Source organism: Homo sapiens, chromosome 15 (assembly GCF_000001405.40).
Source record: "Homo sapiens chromosome 15, GRCh38.p14 Primary Assembly".
NCBI classification, from domain to species: Eukaryota; Metazoa; Chordata; class Mammalia; order Primates; family Hominidae; genus Homo; species Homo sapiens.
Window position 1 is genome coordinate 55,180,052 of NC_000015.10, and position 22,788 is coordinate 55,202,839.

The 22,788-nt window shown below is 37.1% G+C and overlaps 1 protein-coding gene across 1 annotated transcript, besides 2 other annotated features; it reads right to left on the reverse strand.

The window, feature by feature from the left end:
• Positions 1-754: 754 nt before the first annotated feature.
• On the reverse strand, positions 755-16,890 carry RSL24D1 (ribosomal L24 domain containing 1). The gene is made up of 6 exons (NM_016304.3): positions 16,759-16,890; positions 12,669-12,782; positions 10,924-10,996; positions 5,311-5,374; positions 3,264-3,349; positions 755-2,174 (listed from the first exon to the last, which is right to left on the reverse strand). The coding sequence occupies exons 1-6, from the start codon at positions 16,837-16,839 to the stop codon at positions 2,101-2,103; spliced, it is 492 nt and encodes a 163-aa protein (NP_057388.1). The 5' UTR covers positions 16,840-16,890; the 3' UTR covers positions 755-2,100.
• Positions 16,010-16,901: an enhancer, noted in NCBI's record as "NANOG-H3K27ac-H3K4me1 hESC enhancer chr15:55488259-55489150 (GRCh37/hg19 assembly coordinates)". NCBI's record gives its function as "activates a minimal SCP1, AML or CMV promoter by ChIP-STARR-seq in naive H9 embryonic stem cells {active_cell/tissue: H9 hESC(naive)}" and the evidence as "EXISTENCE:reporter gene assay evidence [ECO:0000049][PMID:30033119]".
• Positions 16,695-16,854: an enhancer, noted in NCBI's record as "active region_9438". NCBI's record gives its function as "activates an Ori minimal core promoter by ATAC-STARR-seq in GM12878 lymphoblastoid cells {active_cell/tissue: GM12878}" and the evidence as "EXISTENCE:reporter gene assay evidence [ECO:0000049][PMID:35858748]".

The following is a 22,788-nucleotide window of genomic DNA, read 5'->3' on the forward strand; positions in this document are numbered from 1 at the left end:
ATCTACAAGATAAACTTCTTCCTAAGGTTTCTATTTTTAAGAAATAAGAATTTTCAAAAATAGTTTTTCTGTATTCTTACAAGGTATTGTAAGGTATATGTGTTAAGGATATTCCTTCCCATGATTTCCAATCCTGTATTGTTCCAACCTGGGCAAAATGGTGAAACCCTGTCTCTAAGAAAAAAAAAAATAATAAGACAAAAATCAACCAGGCAAGGTGGTGCAAGCCTTAGTACCAGCTACTTGGGAGGCTGAGGTGGGAGGATGACTTTAGCCAGGAAAGCAGGGGTTGCAGTAAGCCAAGATCACACCACTGCACTCCAGTCTGTGCAACAAGGCCAGACCCTGTCTCAAAAAAAAAAAAGTTCCCTGTAGTAAACATTATGCTTTGTTTCACTGCTAGCTACTCAGCACAGGCCTCTACCAAACAAGCTAAAACAAGGTAGCCTAAAAGTATTATACCATAACAACTTCTCAGGCAACATTTTCATGGGAAGTGATCCAAACAAGCTTAGAGGGTTATGGTGGGATGAAAAAAAAAATTATGGCATTTGTATCCATATAGTTTAGAATGAGATCTGGGTTCTCACAATACTATGAAATCATGACAAGGAAGAGAACTGTTTGGATGCTAAACTTAAGATGCAACATCAGCTCTTCAATTCAGCCCAATTTCCCCCAAACTGATGGTCGCAAAGCAAGGGCAGCTTGCTCCTTCGCTGGCAAGGTAGGACACTTGTTTCCTAATAAAACGTAACTTTCAAAATGTTTATTTCTTTAAAAAATGAATACGGTATGTAGTAAAAACCCAAGAAATTTTACAAATGTCTTTCCTCACATGTATCATTTCCCCTAATCTTCAATCAATAATATTATTTACAAATAAGAATACCCAGGCAAAACCACATTGGAACTCAGGTCTCCTAACACTTGGTCCAGGGACTGGTCTACAGCCTTAGTTTTACTATCTAATACTGAAACAAAAAATGAGCCATTACTTTATAATTATGTAAGGCTAAGAATTACTGATTTTAAACTCTACCCTAAAAAAACCATTATGCAAACTGATCGTTACTTAATGTATTTAACATACTTAAAACTGTAAACAATGTAAAAACACAAAACATTAAGTATTAAGTATCTATTTCTCTTTAATTAAATGTATCTCCTACTTAAATGGGATGTGTGGAGGAAGATTTCTTCTTCCAGGTCATCAATATTTCATATCTTTGTTTAGTGCCTTTAAAGAATAAATATCAGCATTACTTTTTAAATGGTTTTATTTTATGTACAAATAATGAACATACGTTGTACCCATAAATTCTACTTTCCAAAAACAGGAGCTTTTTAAAAGAAAACCACATAACAACTTTTAAAAGGCGCTGGGATTCCTCTGCTTCTAGATCAATGCTGGGCTAGAAAAGTAAAGTCTGTTCTATCAGGAATCACAAGTTGGAACTGAGTATTCTCCAAAGTGGAAATTCTAGAGTGTAGTGTCACTCCAGGCAAAGATTATTCAGTTCTCATCCCCAGCATCCACAACTACCTATCAGAAGGGTTAAACCAGGTCAAAACAGTCCAGCATAATTAGGCTTCATCAAACAATGTCATTATGCTCTTCTAAGATGCAAATAAACCAAAACAGGAAATACTAAAATAAAAATATCTGACACTGCCATACAAATTGTTAGTTCCTTTTTGTATCCCCCCTTCTATAACATTAACAAAGGGAATATTTTACTGCAAAGAATATTTTATTTTATACATCACTAGCCATGAATTTTTGCCATTAGTTACTATACAAATGCTGCCTAGTGCCATTATCCAAATAGCACAACCATTTTACGTCCACAATTCACTTCTATAGTTACAAGTAGAATTTTCATGATTTACTTAAGTACATCTATCAGTAAAGATTTAACACTGAGATGCAATCTAACATCCGTAATATCTGATATTATGTAGATGGCAATGCAGGAAAGATGTCTTTTAATCGCTTTTCATTTAAGTGACCTTATGTAAAAAATAAAATAATTTAGCAGTTCCAAGTATCCAAAGGGCATTTTCAAATGTACATAAAAGAAATGGTTACAGAGATTTTTAAGGAGCATCTTCCATGTCCACATCCTCTTGTAACTGCTGTACCATTTTCTCTTCCAACTGTTTCCCTTTGCCTTTAATAAAAATAAGTAAAAAATAAACAACTTAATTAAATGTGACCTTACAGAATTCACACCAACACTTTATAAAGGATCTTGCATGTTTTCAAGTAATATTAGCCACTCCTAAGAAATTTAATAGTAGCTAAACTAACATAGGTCTTATGATATGCCATGCATCAAATAAACATTCTACATACATTTATTTGCTCATTTCACCCTCATAACAACCCCCATTTTAAATATGAGAAAACTGAGGCTCAAAGACAGATTAACTTGCTGAAGGTCACTCAACTAGAAAGCCATTTAAGTCAAAGTGCTGGCATGTGAACCCCAGCCATCTGGATCCAAGGTGCCTGCTCTTAACACTGTTCTATCTACCTCAAAGAGGATTACCTAAAAACTTAGATAACAATGGTTCATTTCTGGTGCTTTTTGACTATCAGTTTGTTATCATGTATATGTGAAACAAATGCTCCAGAATTTTGCCTATTTTGTTTTAATAAAATTTGGTACAAAAATAATACAAGTAGATCTACACAAATGTACTCAATATGTGATTACAGAATTTGACCTTTACTAAGATTTCTTTCCCTTTAAGTGATCTACATAAGTAAATTGCATAAAAGACTGTACTGGTGTTAGCTGAGCAAAAGAAACAGTAGTCCCAATTTTAGTATCAGAATCATCTGGGATGTTACTGAACAGTGGCCCAGACTCAAAGAGCCTGGGCCTATGTATTTATACTAAGTTCCCCAAGTTGGTAATTCTGATACCAACCAAAGTTTGAGAACCACTAATAAAAAATATAGTCCTTTAATCAATACAAGTGCAAGACAAAAATCATCTACAAAATTATTACGCAAATCATTTTGCATAACTTGGGGGGATATGGAACATAGAATTCAATGAAGGCAAAAAAGAAACACCATATAAATAGACTGACTGCAATTGGGAAATACACTGAATAAATTACATTTTTATAGGCCAAATCATATCATAAATTTACTATGAAAGATAATATTTATAGGAAAAAATACCCAAAGTTAGTTGGTACCCAAATACACAGACCACAAAAATCTAGATGTGCAATGTAGTACTCACCTGCAAGAGGGGCTCGGATAAGATGGATGTTTTGCTTGACTTCTTTGATATCCTGAACTTTCTGTAGCTCTTTATTTTTCTTCAATCTACAACAAAACATATTAAAGCCAAAATTTCAGTTACTAACACTGCTTTAAGAGGCATCAATTCACAATACAGCTTCTAAATTTTGTTACTTAAGTTAGCCCCACAGATGGGGAATGGAAACATGATGGCTGCCCTTCTGTTCACTCCCCTTTCTTCTCCCCACAACGCCCCCCATCCAGCAGGAGCATCAACACCAAGTGAACAGAGCCTCTCAGTCCTCTCACATTACTCCCAAATGGCAAGTGGTGAACTTAACCTAAAAGAGATATATACCTTACATTTATTCCCAAATCTAAGGTAAGGTCACCTGTTAAGCCCTCACAAATGTACATTTTCTTCTCTAACAACTCAAACTCAAAGTGGTTTTTTAGTTCGTAATTAGCTCAAAATAGGATTCCTACCCTACCACAACACTTATTCATTCATTCATTCTTTGTACCTAGACTGGCACGAAATGGGAGCTCAATACATATTTGCTAAGTAAATGAAGGATGTGAGTCATGAAAAGAAGCAGTGCTCTACTACATAAAACAACCTTTAACTGTTACAGTGCCTAGATCTTTTCTCCTCAAATAGATAAGTCTCTGTTATATAATTTTTAAAAAACCATTGGGTAATTACAAGAGCACAAATCACATGATATTCAATAGAAATGCTAACAGACTAGTTTTCAAACATTTTTGTGAAATGCTTTAAAATTTTTAAGCCAGAAAGCTGCTGGCACGTGCTTCTTTTCCATGACATATTCCATAGCAATTAATTTAAAAGCTAATGGTCCTGCTCTGAAAAAAATAGTTGATTCCAAGCTGGGGAAGAGGAAACATCTTGTTAGCTATAAAACATGAATGCACTCAAAGAATGAGGAGAATTGTCAAAATGACATGACAGTCTGCCTGAAGGAACTCCCACAGGCCAAATATGGGCCACTTAGAACTTCAAAATAAATAATGACAATAAAGAATTATAACCCAATGTATACCATAAGAATCCATGAATACACACAGATGTAATATGAATAAAGGAATAAATCTTGAAATTGATGGAAAAGGGAAAGCTCTTTCTTACATGAGAAAATCAACTAAAAAATGTAGAAGAAATGATGGAATTAGAAAAACCACCATTTGGCAACAATCACAACAATAGTAGTAACTGATTCAGGCAAGACTCTAATGAAAACCAAAACCAGTAGGTACAAGTTTGAGGAGTAATAGGCTTTTTACTGAATCTCTATGTATCTCCCCCAAAATACGTACTGATTATAAGGAAAACAAAATAGTAATCTTCCAGTGGAGAAACCTGACAGACATCACCTTAATCAAGTGATCAAAGTTAACATCACCAGCAAGGTGACATCATGTGCTTCCCGATATGATGCATGAGAAGGATACGCCATCATTTCTGAGACATCCCTGCCAAAGGTGCCTAGCCAAAATCTAATGAGGAAGGTATCAGACAAACCCAAATTGAAGAACGTTCTATACAATAACTTGACCTATAGTCTTCAAAACTATCAATGTCACGTAAAAGAAAGATGAGAAACTGTCCAGATTAAAGGAGCCTGAAGAAATATGAAGGACTTTGTGTTGCTATGGACGTAATCAGAATAACTGGTGAGGTCTAAATAAGGTTTATAGATTATATAATAGTATTACATCAATGTTAATTTCCTGACTGATAGATAACCATACTGTGTTTATTTAAGAGAATGTTCTTATTTTTAGGTTACACACACTTAAGTATACTTAGAAGGAAAAAGCATTATGTCTTCAATACATTGAGACAAGGATAAAGTAAATGTAAAATGCTAGCAGAATATACAAGAGTTCTTCATATTATTCCTTGAAGTTTTTGGTAAGTCTGAAGTTATGTCAAAATAAAAAATTTTTTTAAAAAATACTAATGCCTCTAAATATCTACTAGTAATTATTTTCCAAAAGTTACTCCATACAAATATTCATACCTGTTCATTATAAATTTAGCTTGGCGCTTCTGTTTGATTTCTTCAACTCTCTTCATCGCATCAACTACAAAAAAATTCATGAGTTAGCAAATGTATGCACATTCAAGCGGTATGATCAACAACTGCATTAACAAACACTTCTTTATTATTCTGATTTAGAAATGAATTTACATGAAAAAAATCATTACAAAAACAATCCCTACTCAAAAAGCTGAAGAAGGTGTATACTCCTGGCCATCATGACTCTCAACATTCTCTTTCACAAGTATCATTTCTCTAATTTTTATCTGACAAAAGTCTCTACTGCTGTTAAATTTTCCTTCCACTTTAAACCAATCCAATGCTTTTCAAATTTTACTATAAAGAGAACTTGGACTACTGACAACTAATCCCATTCTTAACTTGTAATTTCCATGAATAAAGACAGCATCTTTCTGGTTATGAACACTTAAAAGTGCCTGGGATATGGTCAGCACATGATATTAGCAGAATGAACCAAACAATCAATACTACTAAGTTCTCAACCACAAAAATCCAACTGTTTTAGAAAATGCCTACAGGAGTGTTGGCTAAAAGGGGGCTGAGTCCAACTATGCTCTAAAATTTCTATCAGTACTATCCAATGAAAGACAAACCACATATGAAATTTTAAATTTTCTAGTAGCCGTATTTTTTAAAGTAAAAACGAACAGGAGGAAATTTAATGATACATTTTATTTAACCCAAATTTCCAAAATACTGTCACTCAACATGCAATCTATATAAAATTACTAGTGAAACATTTTATCCTTGTTTTCATATTAAGTCTTCAAAATCCAGCATTCATTTCACATTTACAGCACAACGCAATTTAGACTGGCTCAGTAGCTCAGACACTTCTGATCTAGTCTAGCTCTTTAAAGTGTAGTCTGTAGATCTAAAGAATAATAAGATATTTATATAGTCTTAAAGTATCTCTCAAAAGTATACTTATTAATTAAAAAGAGTAAAACAGTAACTCTTCAGTGGAAAAACCTGGCAGACACCACCTTAACCTAATGATCAAAGTTAACACTGCTAGTAATGGAACTAATGGACAGCTTGTGTCTCCTGACAAAACACACTGAAAAAACTCAGCATCAAATCTCTGGTGCTCTTGCCAAATGTGCATTATCCAAACCTAATCTGAAGGAAACACCAAACAATCCAGTTAAGAAATTTTATACCAAACGCCTGGCCCATATTGTTCTAAACTGTCAATATCATGAAATATAAGGACAAACTCAGGAAATGTTCCAGATTACAAGAGATTAAAGAGACATGACATGTACTATTCTTACAAATTTTGCTATAAAGGATATTACTGGGACAATTGGAGAAATATGAATAGGACTAAGATTAGGTAATAATAGTCTATCAATGTTAATTTCTTGATTTTAATAATTGCAGTGTGGTTATGTGAGAATGCTCTTATTTCTGGAAATACATATTAAACTAGGGACCAAGAAGTATTTTGCATGCTTAAACAGTTCAGAAAAATATACACTAAAGGGAGAAAGGGAGAAAGAAGAGAGACAAAGAGAAAAAATTAATTTAACAAAATGTTAACATTCAGGGAGTCTGGATGAAGGATATCAGAGAACTCTACTCGTGCAACTTTTCTGTAATCTGAAATTAGGTCAAAATAAAAACTTTTAAAATGTAGCCTGGGACCAGTAACAGTGGCATCATTTGGGAGCTTGTTAGAAATGAAGGATTTCAGGCCCCACACAAACCTACTATATCTGAATCTACATTTTAACAAAAACCACCAGGACAATCTTTGAGACCTCTAGTATTAAAGCAATGTTTGTATAAATAACTCTAAGAAAATGTCAACTATAAATCTGCATATGCTGTAGCTCAGAATTAATAATATGCTGGATATATAACTTTTTTTCTTTGTCTTTCAGCAAAAATAAGTACAAGTTCTAGTACTCAAAAGCATTTCCACACTTTAAACTTATTTAGAAGGGAAATAAACACAAGTGGCAGGAAAATCCCTTCCAAAGAATAATATGCTGTATTTCCAAATATTCCAGAATACTGAAATATTTTGAACCTAAGAAGCATCTAACTGTACAATTCACAACTGCAAAGATATGGAACCAACCTAAGTGCCCATCGACCAACAAGTGGGTAAAGAAAATGTGGTATTTATACATGATGGAATAGTTCTCACCCAAAAAAAGGAATGAAATAATGTCTTTTACAGCAACTTGGATGGAACTGGAGGCCACTATTCTAAATGAAGTAACCCAGGAATAGAAAAGCTAACACTGTATGTTCTCACTTGTAAGCAGGGGCTAAGCTATGGGCACGCAAAGGCATACAGAGTGGTATAATGGACTATGGGACTCAGAAGGGGGAGTGGGGTGGGGTAAGGGGTAAAAACTATAGATTGGGTACAATGTACACTACTCAGGTGATGGATGCACTAAAATCTCAGATTCTGACAATCTACAATTAATCCATGTAACCAAAAAAACCACTTGTACCCCAAAAGCTATTAAGATTAAAAAAAAGTTCAACAAAAATATGTAAAAAGTTAAAATAAAAAATAAAAAAAAATCTGACAGATATTAACAATTCACCTGCAACACAGACAGCCATGAGGGACAAAGTGCAAACTATTTTTCCCGGTATTTTTGAAATTCTAACATACTACTGTTTCTACAGACATCAGTACCTTAACAAAGGTTGTTTAATCCATATCCTCACACAATTTGATAATGTAAGCAATGAATATACAACTCTTGTCAATAGATTAGTTTATAGACCAAATGATACTGAAATACGAGGGGTGTGGAGAATCAATGAATCTCTTAGAAGAATAATATATTGTTCTGGAACACTACTGAAAACAACTTTTCTTAATTGTATAAAATATCATGAAACAATCTTAAATTCCAAAGACTCTCATACTATTTACCTAGCACTCATACTGTACACTTAGCAGATCTTCTCAGAAAAATCTATTTTTAGGATCCCAGTAAAAAGGAAAGCAGAATCAGTGCAGGAAAAAAGAAATCAATAGAGCACTGCTTCTTACAGAATTTACAGATGTATAAATGTGGGGGGCAAGAGAATGAGACTCTGTAATAAAACCTAACAGAAACAATAAAATAGGAGTACTCAGTAAGTGCACCTAGAGGGCAGAGACCGTGTGTGACGTGTTCATCTTTGTATGCCACAGGCAGTGCTTAATAAATGTGCACTGAATTAAAATAAATTAAGAACTGTAGAGAACACTACCATTACAGTATGTGAAGTCATACAGAACACAGCAGTATTTCTCTCGAGCAATGTAAATAACATGACACCAGCATGGAGGACCATGGAACTGATTATTCACATATCGCTAAAATTGTATATGCAACTCTTTTCAACAACAACCTAAATACCCGCTAAGTAAAAGTAGTTACAAAATATGTAAAAATGATCTGGAGCTGCTGTCTTCAAGTAATAATAACAACAACAAAGGTCAAAATGAAATAAAACTGAATGAAGTCCAGAAATGCCTCAGGACTGGCCAAGTGCGGAGGCTCACGCCTGTAATCCCAGCACTTTGGGAGGCCAAGGCAGGCAGATTGCCTGAGCTCAGAAGTTCACCACCAGCCTGGGCAACATGGTGAAACCCCGTCTCTACTAAAATACAAAAAAATTAGCCGGGCGTGGCGGCGTGTGCCTGTAGTCCCAGCTACTCGGGAGGCTGAGGCAGGAAAATTGCTTGAACCCGGGAGGCGGAGATTGCAGTGAGCCGAGATCCCACCACTACACTCCAGCCCGGGTGACAGAGCAAGACTCCCATCTCAAAAAAAAAAAAAAAAAAAAGAAATGCTTCAGGACTTTCCAATAATGTCCTTGATAAGAGTGCCTTTTGAAATCAATTTAAGAATCCTATAGTTAATCTCTTTAGAAATCCTTGAGTTTGAATAAGTGTTATTTCCTTACCAAATAAACCCAATAAAAATCAACTGCTTTTCAGAAATTAACTCCTCCTCTAATTATAAAGCAGAAGGAAAAGACCTTATTTTTTAAAAAGGGGTTGGGGGAGACCCAAAGGGTACAATAATTAGGGCTAAGTACAGAAAAGGCAATTCCAAATCTAAACTCCAGTTTCTCCACATGGTCCTAGGTAAACAAAGCTTTAGAACAAGCTTGACCAACCCACGGCCCAATATAAATTCGTAAACTTTCTTAAAACATAAAGAGATTTTTTTTGCAATTTTTTTTTCCCTTAGCTCATCAGCTATCATTAGTGTTAGTGTATTTTCTGTGTGCCCCAAGACAATTCTTCTTCCAATGTGGCCCAGGGAAGCCAAAGATTGGATGCCCCTGGTTCAGAAGGTATAAATACTACCACAAAGGTCCACAAATTTTCAGTTCTTCCCCTGAAGTCTCGTGACTGACTGGAGGACACAAAGGGATGCCCTGCCTATGATCCATTAGCAGAGTAATAAAGTTTGTGGAATTCTAAGCCTTACAGACTCTGGTTAACAAACCACATCACCCCCACACCCAATACTAGAAATAGCTACAGGCTGCATAAAGGTAGCCATGGGAAGAAAAGAAGGCCGGGCCGGTGCCAGGCATGGTGGCTCACGCCTGTAATCCCAGCACTTTGGGAGGCCAAGGTGGGAGGATCACTTGAGGTCAGGAGTTCAAGGCCACCCTGGCCAACATGGCAAAACCCCATCTCTACTAAAAATACAAAAATTAGCCAGGTGTAGTGGCATGTGCCTGTAATCCCAGCTACCTGGGAGGCTGAGGCAGGAGAATTGCTTGAACCTGGGAGGCAGTGATTGCAGTGAGCCGAGATCGTGCCACTGCACTCCAGCCGGTGGGACAGAGCAAGACTTTCCAACTCAAAAAAAAAAAAAAAAAAAAAAAAGGCAAGGCCAAGGGTCCCAAACATACACAAATGTGGTAGAATCTACAAGCTAGCTCAAGGGATTAACTTTTTCTACATATGAGACTTTTTTCATTAAACTTTCTGCCTATTTCAGGGAAAAAAAACAAAACAAAACAAAACAAAAAAAACAAGAACTAGATATTATTGCTTTTAATTTCAGAAGATTATAACTTCATTTTTTACCTAAGTCAAACACTTAGAAATTCTCTCAGAACATTTGTAATGATGACCTTAAGCACTACACTTTTTAATTTTAAAGAAGCACTGAATTTTATAAGGTATACAGAATACAAGTTTATATCCTAAACTATATGGTCTAAACATGTAAAGTGTGTTAGGTTTCATGTGTATTTTAACCATCCCACACTCACCCTAAAACAGTATTTTCCGTCTCTATTTTTTTCAGCCATTTTTATGTTTTTACATCTCTGTGTGGGCACTTCAAGTAGTATCAAAGTTAATAATTACATTATTTTAAAATGAACACACCAGCCAATTGTAAAAAAAAAATGATGAAAGATCTGACTACAACAGAACCATTAAAATGAGGATAAAATAATAAAAGCCAAGGAATGATAAATGGAAAATTCAATATTTAAACAACAAACTGACACTTAAAGTTATAGTATTATCCCAAACCAGTCTCTCCTCAAAATTACTGGTATTTCTTTGTGACTTACTAGTTTTATTCCATAGCTCTCGCTGGTATTTGATAGGTTCATTTCTACGTTTTTCAAATTCAAATGAATTATCCTGTAAGAGGGAACAGAGGAGATAAAAATAAGGTTTTAAGAAAGGTAGAAAGGAAACATTTCTTAAAACGTCTTCCTTTTCCTAAGTGTTCTAAATGAACATACACCTAGATTCACCCCTCAGGGTATCTCAGAGAATATAGGTTTTCAAATTTTTTCTCCTTTACACACCTCCCTATTGAAGACATCTCTCCATATACTAGTGATTCTCAAAGAGAAAGGAGGAGACAGTAACACCCCCATCCCTCAGAAGGGCATATAACAATTATCAGGATTACAAACTGAAAAACCTTCCCAATGTCCCATTCCCAGATAAGATTCAAAGCCAGAAAACTTTGAATTATGTTGAACCATATGAAACTGCCATTTTTTACAGATCAAAAAAAGTCAACATCAAGAATTCCATGTTCTTCCTGTAGGAGACAGAAAAAAAAAAAGAGAGAGAAAACTTCATATGGTTCAACCTAAATATCTATGTTATAGCAAAAAGGTATGAAAACTATATATATCTTCAAATAAATGAGGTGCTACTCTGCAGAATAAAAGTCAGGCCCTACATTTCTTCAGATCCCCTCCAAACACGGTTACCGTTGCTAGTGGCTGGTATTTTTACAGTTAATGATCCTTTTAATCTTAAAACACACAAAACAATTTTGGAAAAGCTACAGGTATTTCTTGGTTTTCAAATCTATCTGACAGGCATATAAAACAGCACTACCTCTGGATTTGGCTACTATTTCTTTTATATATACACAGCTTTATTCAGATCATAATAACCTCAGCCACGAGGTAAATGGTAATCAGTAAATGACTGTGACCGGCAGTGTTTCCTCAGGCAGCTGCCACTTGCATTTGGGCTGCTATGCTTCTTTTCTTCCAGAATGAAAATTATTTTTGTGACAGTAATTATGATTTGGCCTTGCATCTGGTCAAACAATAGTCTTTACATTCATTGCAAAGCTCTGGTATTAAGGAGGCCAGGAAAGGGCTTCATGGAAAATGCTTGTAGATACTGCCCTTTAGCAATAAAAAGGTGGGAAATGGGTCATTGGTTTGGTGGGTAAAGGAAGCCATGGATGGAGAGGACAGTTTAAAAGATCTTCCTCCCTCAAATGTAGCCTGTACTGCATTTTCATCTCCTTCCTTTGCAGGGACTGAACGTGGACAGCTTCAAAATACCCTTTTATCAATTCAATATAACAATATAATGATAGAGGCTCACTCCATTAAATCCTCTTTCCCCCTGACTTCTCTCTAGTTCTCCTCACACCAACACTACTAATTTCTCTGCTCTCAGATACAAAGTCCTGCTAAGGAAATCCAGAAACTGATAAATGAGTCTATTATAAACTTCACCTGAGCCTTGACTGCTGTTCAGAAATCCTTTATCTCTTAACTTCATCTCAAAATCTTTCAGTAGCAATTCCCAACTTCATCCCAAGCCATTTAAGTGATTTTCCTCTTGGTCTGCAAGAGCTAAAAATAGTAGCTCCACAGAATTACAGTTTTAAGGATCATGTGAGAATGAGATTATTTCCACAGCCAAATACAAATAAGGTACTTATTAATCATGTTATAGGAGGCCTTGTTATGATTGATTAGATGACATATACCCTTCAAATACTAAAACTGTGAAACGTGTAAAAACTATATTGATAGCTAACCGTACTCACCACTGTAAGCTCTTTACCAGCTGCTTTCCGGAATGCTTTGGTCCACCTAACTTTGCGAGGATTGCGCTTCTTTTTAAAGTTTTTATGACATTTAGATTTGCAAAATCTGAACACCTACAAGAAAAGTTAAAATATTGAGAAGTCAACATTAAAAACTTTTCTATCACAAGACGTTACCCCTGCTAGACAAAAAATACTTTCCCTTCTACTTAAACTGCCATTTAGAAATGTGTAAGATATATCAGATTAAATGGAAACAACTATTTTTTGACTATCAAACATCATCCCAACCAAAGGCTAAGGGCCCTGAAAATATTATTTTAAATTACTAATCATTTATATAGAATAACAGTAAAATTATTTCAAATAAAGGGAACAGTTTTAAGTAAAGTCATTTATTTAAGTCCTTTCTTAATTCAGGATAATTTTCAAAATTCACTGTCTTTATACCTCAATGGGGATAAAAGTTTCAAACAACCATTCTGAAATCTCCTTTGGGTCTTTCCATCTTCCTTGTTGAAAGCACAAAATAATTTCAAAAGCAAGTAAAACTGGTGATATAACAGATTCGTTTTCGACTTACTCACAGATCTGCTAGCAAGATTCTTTACTACTTTAACTCTCCACCTTCATCCTACAAGATTTAATCCTTTAATAGTGCTAACTTACAACTGATGATGCTTCAACATGTCCCTGAAATGTCTTATTAGGACTCATTTTATAAATCTAACAGTATTATTTTGTTACTTTGTAATGCCTTAGAACACACTGCAATTTGTGTATGCCCTGGAGGAAATGGGAAGAGAAAAAGTAATTATTTGGGGTTTGTGGATCTTGGTAAAGAAAATTAAGTTGAATTATCACACCTAAAAGGTATGACAGATAATAGGTCAAAGTAAACAGTACAAACACTTCAAACTAAATAAGCCTGTGTATGTATCACAAATCATAATACTTTTCACCTTTTATATATGTTGCCCTAAGGGGAACTTCAAGTAGGTCACTACATACAGTAGGACAGTTTTCTTAGAAACTGTTGCTATTAGTTTAATCTGATCCAGGCCCATACCTCCTACAGAGCCTTCTCCTAAGACACTAGAGTGAAAGCATGTCTATATCCTTGAGTTAGTTTCAAATAGACTAGAAAATATAAGAACTACTAGTCTCCTGGAGTAGCCTACTATGAAATCATAAATAAAAAATGAATATATGAAAATCATTGTGAAATGAATTATATTTTGAGTATTTTCAGCCCAAAATACTATTATTTTTTAAGCAAAAGCCTCCCACATTTAATATCTACTAGATATCCCTTAGGCAAATTCCTTTTTCTACTATTTATCTAATGGGAGGACTAAATTTGTTTTGGCTCCTCTCAATTCCAAATAGACCCAATGAGGAATCTAGTTGGTTCCTTAACTAATAGGTATTACCTGAAAGGCACAATGAAGGATCTACAGAGACCTGGAACCAGAGGAGGTGCAAAGGGGATTCAATCAGTAAATAAAGAGCATCTATGTGCCTGATGTTGTACTAGTGCTAAGGATACAAGAACAATTAAAATTTGGTACTCTACCTTGAGAAGCTTAGTCTAGCAATGTGATAATCTCACTTTGCAATCAAGAAAGATCAAGATCTGACTAGGATATAAACAATGGGATAAAGTTATAATCATGTATAATGTAATATGTAAACACATATGAGGAAGTGGTTAAATCTATGGTGGGGTAAGAGGTGGATGGCTTATGTGTCAGGCAAAGCTTTATGGTTTCAAGTTTCTCTTTTAATTTAGTCCCCTAAATGCTAACATGCTAACAAATGATCCCCCATACCTTGGACTCAAAGTTCTTCAAACCTTTCTTATTCCACTAATTCAACATTTATTAAGCCCTCATTAAGAATGTATTTTCCCTGTTTGCAAAGTATGTGCAAATATAGAGAATTAGCATTAATTCTACCCTTAACCCATTTATGCCTAAGAAGAGTAAAAGGTGAAGTTTCTATTAATAACAGTCTCAGAAACTAAGAGAATAAAGGCAGAAAGACTAGTTAAAGCCTGGGAAACATAGCAAGCCTCTGTCTCTACACACACACACACACACACACACACACACACACAATGTTAATCTCCCCGTCTCTACAAAAAATTTTTTTGATATTGGGCATGGTGGTGCACACCTGTAGTCCCAGCTACTCAGCATGCTGAGGAGGGAGGACTGCTTAAGTACAGGAGACTGAGGCTGCAGAGAGCCATGATCACACATCTGCACTCCAGCCTGGGCAATAGACAGTGAGACCCTGTCTCAAAAAAAAAAAAAAAAAAAAAGGCTAGATAAGAGGCTATAAAAGTGGTAAGAGCCTAATCTGAACTAGGACAGGAAAGTAGAAAGAAGGCAAAGACACCACTATCTTTGCAGAGGCAGGATAGGTAAGACTTGATAACTAGATACAAAAGGTGAAAAGATTCAGACGACTCTCATGTTTCTAGCAAAACTATCCGGGCACTTAAGAGTGGTATTAATTCACAGAGCAAAAAGATCTGAGGTACTAAGGAATTCTCTTTCAGTAGGCCCACTGTACCTACTGTTAGGTACATCCAATGGAAAATTCAGATTTGGAGCTCAGGAGATTTAGGTTTGGAAATCAAGCATAAAAAAAGATGAGATACTTGTTCTTTGTTAGTGCTTCAGGCCCTCTATCTTTTATTTCCTCCAACAACTCTCTTCTGGATCCACTGGTGACTCCCAACCAACTCAACACTGTCCTTATTCTTCATCAACTTAACTTCCACTGTGTCTACCAAATCAATACCCAGGTCTTGACAGTTCTCACGATCTGTTGTTCTAATTCCAATATCCAGCCGACAAGCATCCTGGACGAAAATCACAAAATCGTAACGACATCATGTATAAAACCATACTGCCTACTCTGAATTAGACCCCAACCTGGCAATCTTTTGGTTCATTTTTATAAACTTCTTATCATGTTCCTGAGAGCAAGTATTCAAAATCTTCTAGGTTCTTTTACGTTATCAAACATGGCTTTGGTCCGTCACTTTCAGCTGAATCCCTTGGATCTAATTAATGAGGTCAATATCTTTGATCTGTTACAGAGATATAAGGTGAAGAAGTCAGACTTGTAATTATTTAGCACGTCAAATTCACCTTAATATACAGATTCTTAGACCCTCTTCCCCTCCCCCAAAGATTCCAACTCAATAGATCTGGTGAAAACCAGGAATCTGTAAACGCCCAGTAATTCAGAAGCAAACGTAAGAGATCAAATTCTGAGAAACAATGTGTTTCTCTGAGAAAGAGAGGAACGGGATTCATTCTGTAATGACAGGACAAATTCATGTACCATTCAAAACGTCTTTCACAACTAGGACTCATATTTATTATTTACGTTTACAGACTTATTATACTTGTAGCCCTACGCCCAAGGCTCTATCATCATTTACAATCCAGTCACTTCCTCAAACAAATGTATTTGCTCCGTTCTCTGCCTTTTCTCAAAATGTTCACTTTCCTTCCACTTAGAAGGCCCCCTCCGCTTTCTTCCGCAAAATTCAGGATCCAAGATAAATATCACCTCTATGCTGAGTCTTTCCGTACAGGACCCTCCCCAACTCACCTGCAGTAACTTAATACATAACTCTACCATTAAGCAATACGGAACACTTCCATCAACCTCTACACTTTAGTATGGACCTTAGTGTAATGCCTGACAGGGTATACACTCAACAAAGTTTACTGGATTCAAGAATTTGGCCCAAGTACATGAGTGGCCAAACAGCCCTCACAGACATCCAAGATTCCTGGTAGGCGCTAGCTGGGATCGCTCCTGAAGTTCCTCGCTGCCAACGCCACCCAAGGGTGGCGTGGTGGCCAGCGCCGCTCGGAAGACGGGCAAGGAGAAACCCCCGAAGCGGAACGTTGAGAACGGAGGCCCAGTTAAGCCACCCTCCCAGGGGAACAACGGGAGGAACCCGGGCCAAACACGGCAGACGCAGAAGCACCCAGCACCGAGCCGCCGCGCCCAGGAACCGCGGGAGCTAGGCTGAAGCAAGAACTGGTGTCGACCGCCTTACCTTGCAATCGTTGCGGACGAACATCATGCCGTGTCCAGGATAGATGGGCCCCGAACAGAAATAACACTTTTCGATACGCATGTTGAACCCGCGTGTAACCCCACCAAACAAACGCCAAGCTTGAGAGGAAGTGATGCAACCCCGTCACCGGAAGTTACCTTCTTCCCCCTTCCCCGACCGGAAAAAGGCAAGCGTCCTTCGTTCTCGCGGGTCTGTTAGACCAGATGCGAACACGACTGTGCCTCCGGCGGCCGTGTGGTCAAATGCGCTGCCGTTTGACGCAGGCGCAGAGCTGCAGACTAGACCTGTTCGCTGTTACTTTGGGGAAATGTGGTTCTGCGCCACCTTGTGAACTTGCTCTCACAGCGCCTAGTTTTTTCTCTCTGTGTGTCGGCATTTATGCAAGTATTATGTATCTTTGGTTTGTGCTTTGCCTCGGAGTGCTCTCGAGAGCACTCTCTTAACTCATTTGTCTACTGCCTGCCCTAGACCAGCCCTCGATTCTCGTCCCACAGTGATTTGCAGGGTGTAAGCGGCGAAGACCCTGCAATCCAGCGTTGCTTCGAACATTGCAATGAAAACGGTTGAGTTGCTGATGCTCCAAGGACTTTACCAGCAATTTTTTTAAATATAAAATCGTGTTATCCGCCTCCCCCCCATTTTAATTAATATGCATATGTAGTAAACAAATATTTTCGCCGGAAACTACGACTCCCTCCCTAGACCTGCGGTCTTCCTCCCCAGGGGCAAAACAGTTCCATTTATTACCTGCCAGAGCTTTTCTGTGCATAGGCAAACATGTATATTTGTGTGTTTGCCTGTCTCTACGTCCTCTTCTTTATAATACTAGTTAATATGCTATTTACTCTTTTCTGCATCTTGCTGTTACCTTGTATCCCTTCATTGGAATGTGAGCTCCATGAGGGGCAGGGATTTCAGTTCGTTTGGTTTACAACTACATCCCAGTATCTAGAACAGTCCCTGGCACATAATAGGCATTTGATACATATTTTACTGTAAAAGGGTATTTAACATTCTTTTTCATATATATATGCCATTGTATGAAAGTATTTTAATTGGTCACTAATCGATGGGCATTCTTATCTTTTGATATAATAAGTATCTGTTGGTACGCTTTTTCAGGAGAGGGTTTATGTAGAACTGCTGGATCAGAGGAGCTGGATATAGATAAATAGTTTTAAAATTTGGCAGATAATACTAAATTGCCTTCCAAAAGTTTTTACCAATTAACACTCAGCATCAACAAATAAGATGTCTGTTTCACTACCCCGCTGTGAAAAGTGATCTTTGCCAACCTGAGATGAAAATTTATCTTATTATTATTTCAACTTGAATTTAATTACAAATGATGTTAAGAATCTTTCACAATGTTTTTCAGCTTTTTTCTGTGAATTGCCTGTTCAGGTCCTACGCAGTTTTCTATTCTTTCGTTGATTTTCAACAGCACTTTACACGTTAAGGTTAGTCCTTTGCTGACATGCATTTAGAAATTATTTCCCTATCAATGTTTTAAGCTTTGCTCATGGTATTTTTCCATGCAGAAATATGTTGTTTATATATTCAGATTTATCCAATTTTTTTATGATTTTGGATTTGGTACTTTCCTTTAAACTGCACTTCTCACTCCAAAATTGTTTTTCAAAATGTTTTCTCTTATGTTTTGTAGTTTCATTTTTTTGCATTTGAATTTTCAACTCGTCTGGAATTTAAGTATAAATGACATAAGACTCCAGTGTCTTTCCCTCAGTGCTGTATGTTGATAAAGCATCCTTTCCCCCACTCACTCATAATGTCACATCTATGGCTCCATTTCTGGACTCAGTTCCATCGTTTTATTTGTTAATGTGCCACTGCCCAAATATTTAAATTATTGTCATTTTTTGAATAACTGGGTTTACCTCCTCTCCCTTTCTATTAGTTTTCATGCTGCTGATAAAGACATACCCTAGACTAGGCAATTTATACAGGAAAGAGGTTTAATGGACTCTTTATGGCTGGGGACACCTCACAATCACAGCAGAAGCCGAGGAGGAGCAAGTCAGGTCTTACATGGATGGCAGCAGGCAAAGAGAATGAAAACCAAATGAAAGGCGAAACCCCTTTAAAATAATCAGATCTCGTGAGACTTATGCACTATCATGAGAACAGTGTAGGGGAAACTGGCCCCATGATTCAATTATCTCCCACCAAGTCCCTCCCACAACACATAGGAATTATGGGAGCTATAATTCAAGATGAGATTTGGGTGGGGACACAGCCAAACCATATCACCCTTCCTTCCTTGTCCTTCTTATTCATTTTTTATCTGGCTATTCTTCAACATTTATCTTTTCATTTTAACTCTAGAATCAGTTTGTATAGTTATAATCTTCAAATACACACATTTTTCCTTTTATTGGATACTTTTTCTTGTCTAGTCATTCGACCAGTAATTCCAGAGTAATGTTAAATAACAAAGGCACATACCAGAAATTTTAGTAATAAACATCTGCCCAATACTTTATTGTCAACCAAGAGACTGAAAATTATTTTACTTTTCTTTACTCTTCCTCTCCTATCCTCCTCAACAATTATGGAAGAGCCTCACCAATCTTTGCAAACTTTACACAGTTCCTTCCCAACTCTGTTTGTTCCTACTACTTCACCAAGAAATTTTATACCCTTCCCATATACATGAACACCCAGGTTTACCCTCTTACCTTTGATGTCAGAGGCCACATCATTTATCTGTGTTCTTAATTTCATACCTTAAGGCTTCATCTGAGACTTTGTTCCCTTCAGTCCATGAACATATTCAGTGCTTCACTTTAGAATGAGTGTGTGTATAGCCAGCCTTAGAAATTGTTTTTTTCTTTCCATCTATTTTAATGGAATACAAGATTGAACTGAAATCTTGGAAATATGATTCCATTTATCCTTCTTAGGATTTATGATTCCTAAATCTAAGGGTATGTGTCTTTTATCATTACTGGAAAATTCTCAGCTATTATCTTTTCATATAGTGCCTCTTCCTTCAGTTTCTCTAATTTCTCCTCATAGAATTCCTACTAGATATAAGTTGGAGCTTTTTTTCTTCCCTCTGTGTCTTTTAACCCCTCCAGGACTTTCTCCTTATCTCTGTCTGCTGAATTATGGGTAATTTCCTCTGACCTGCCTTCTAGAATTTCCTCTTCAACTCTGTCAAACCTGTCATTTAACCTCTAACCATTAAGTTTTGAATATCAATGGCTGTATTTTTCACTGTTGGAAGTTTTTGTTTTTTTGTTTTTTTTTTAATTCAAACCAGTCTGTTATCTTTAATATTGTCTTCTTTTCTGGATTTTTTAGTTCCTTTCATGTTTGTGATTATCTTAAACACTTTGACTTTATGGTCTGCTTCTGATAAGTATATTATTTGAGGTTCTTAAATGCCAAATCCTGCTGGCTGTTTGGTCTGCTGGCCCTTGCTAATGACTGGAGGTAAGAATGAAGAAGAAATAGATTGTAATTTTTCATTGTAATCTCATCCATAGTAGGGTGTTTTTTGGCCTGTGCAGAAATTCCATCTGTAAACATTTTTGCTTTGCTTCCACCAAGTAATCCAGAACAAATCCCTTCTTTAAAATGTTAATTTTTGTTAATTTCTTGATTGAACATACCCAGAAAAATTAGGTATTATACACTTTAACCTTAAACCTGTGTTCAAGCCGACTTGTAGTTGTAAATTTTCACAAGAGATTAAAGGCATAGACTAGGTTGGCCAGGCACGGTGGCTCACGCCTGTAATCCCAGCACTTTGGGAGGCCAAGGTGGGTGGATCACAAGGTCAGGAGTTCAAGAGCAGCCTGGACAAGATGGTGAAACCCCATCTCTATTAGAAATACAAAAATTAGCCGAGTGTGGTGGTGGGTGCCTGTAATCCCATCTACTCGGGAGGCTGAGGCAGAGAATTGCTTGAACCCGGGAGGCAGAGGTTGCAGTGAGCCAAGATCGCACCACTGCACTCCAGCCTGGGCGACAGAGCAAGACTCCATCTCAAAAAGAAGAATAAGAAAAAAAAAAAAACCATAGAGCAGGTCCTGGATTTCTGTGTGTTTGGGGACAGAGGGCTGCAGTTTCATCACCCTATTCTCAACAGGCCCAAGGTTTTCTTTACTAATTCTTTGTAGCCATTATAACAAAGCATCCTGATTACCGATACTGGCAAAACCAAACCAAAAGCAAACCACAATCAGCATCAGGTTGTTTTAAGTTCCATCTGTTGTCTGTTTTTAAGGGGAAGGAGGTGGTCTTAGGGCATTGCCCATATTTTTTTGAGAAATCATCGGTACATTTTTAAAAAATATGTTCATACTTTATCCAGCATTATCTAAGTATCTTATAATGGAAGAGCTTATTAGTTTTATAAATACCTATATTACCAATAACAGAAGAGCTGGAAATACCACCATAGAGATTTCCAATTTATAAAAATACCAAGTGAAACATGTCTTAAATAGATTGTTAGCCATCTTGACATCAACTTCAAAAGATCAGAAATTATCTCTCAGATTTCTTAATTTTTTTTTTTTTTTGAGATGAAGTCTTGCTTCGTCACCCAGGCTGGAGTTCAGTGGCGTGATCTCGGCTCATTGCAACCTCTGCCTCCCGGGTTCAAGCGATTCTCCTGCCTCAGCCTCCCCAGTAGCTGGGATTACAGGAATGAACCACCACGCCCAGCTAATTTTGCATTTTTAGTAGAGACTGGGTTTTACCATGTTGGCCAGGCTGGTCTCCAACTCCTGATCTCAGGTGATCTACCCACTTCAGCTCCCAAAGTGCTGGGATTACAAGCATGAGCCACCACACCTGGCCTAGATTTCTTGATTTCTTGCAATGAATTAGTATGGACTTACTATATGTGAACCTTTTTAAACATTTTTAACGCTGTTTTTATTTTCAAATTGCGTTTTTCTGTCTTTTAACATTAACAGTGGCCTCTTTTGAAAACTCTCTTGACCCTGCTGCCTCTTTAAGTCCTTTACTCAGTCAATTAACAAAAATTTGAGTACCTATTGTGTACCAGGCCTTTTTCTGAGTGACGGTAACAGTTTTGAAGAAAACTACCTAAATCCCTGTCCTTGTTTGTGGAGCTTGTATCTTAGTGGATGTAGACAAATATATAAATATGTCAAGTGAATCACTTGTCAGCCTCTTGGCTAAGAATAATTGTAAATACATCAGGTGGTGAAATATTTACATTGAGTGATATGAAGAAACGCAAAGCAGAACAACAGGTCAAGGAGTGACAATCTGGTTGGGGCCATGAATGGGAGTGACTGCTCTTTTATATAAGGTGGTCAGTAAAGTTCTTTGGACAAAGTGGCATTTGAACAGTCTTAAAGGATAGGAGAGGTATACATGGAACACTAGCATTCCAGACAGAGGGAACTGCAAATGCAAGAGATCTGAGGCAGGAACATGCTTGACTGCTCCAAGGAGGCCAGTGTGCCTGAGAAGAGTGAGTTGGACAGTGGTAAGAAATAAGGTCAGAAGGTCAGAGAAGCCATCTCTCCACATATACCCTCCTCATCCAGTCCATGACTGTACCCTCCCCAGTGTCTCTTGCATCATCTCTCAGCCCTGCATGATCTTAGTTCAGGCCTCAATCATCCTTGTTTTGTTTATCTGAGATTGTCTACTACAACACTTCCCAAATATAGGTGCTCAATATATGTTTGATAACTTTTTTTTTTTTTTTGAGACAGAGTTTTGCTCTTGTTGCCCAGGCTGGAGTGCAACCTCCGCCTCCTGGGTTCAAGCGATTCTCCTGCCTCAGCCTCCCAAGTAGCTGGGGTTACAGTCATGCGCCACCACGCCCAGCTAATTTTGTATTTTTAGTAGAGATGGGGTTTCTCCATGTTTGTCAGGCTGGTCTCAAACTCTCAACCTCAGGTGATCTGCCTGCCTCGGCCTCCCAAAGTGCTGGGATTACAGGCGTGAGCCACTGCGCCCAACCTGATAACATTTTTAATTACTTTTCCAGAATAT

Bases quoted from the DNA above. Each gene is read 5' to 3' on its own strand.
- RSL24D1 (NM_016304.3), bottom strand. From the start codon at position 16,839: ATGCGTATCGAAAAGTGTTATTTCTGTTCGGGGCCCATCTATCCTGGA. The intron at 3,350-5,310 runs GTATGAATATTT...GTTTTGTTGTAG, and splicing joins GCTAAATTTATAATGAACAG to ATTGAAGAAAAATAAAGAGC. The intron at 2,175-3,263 runs GTGAGTACTACA...TTTTTATTAAAG, and splicing joins TATCCGAGCCCCTCTTGCAG to GCAAAGGGAAACAGTTGGAA.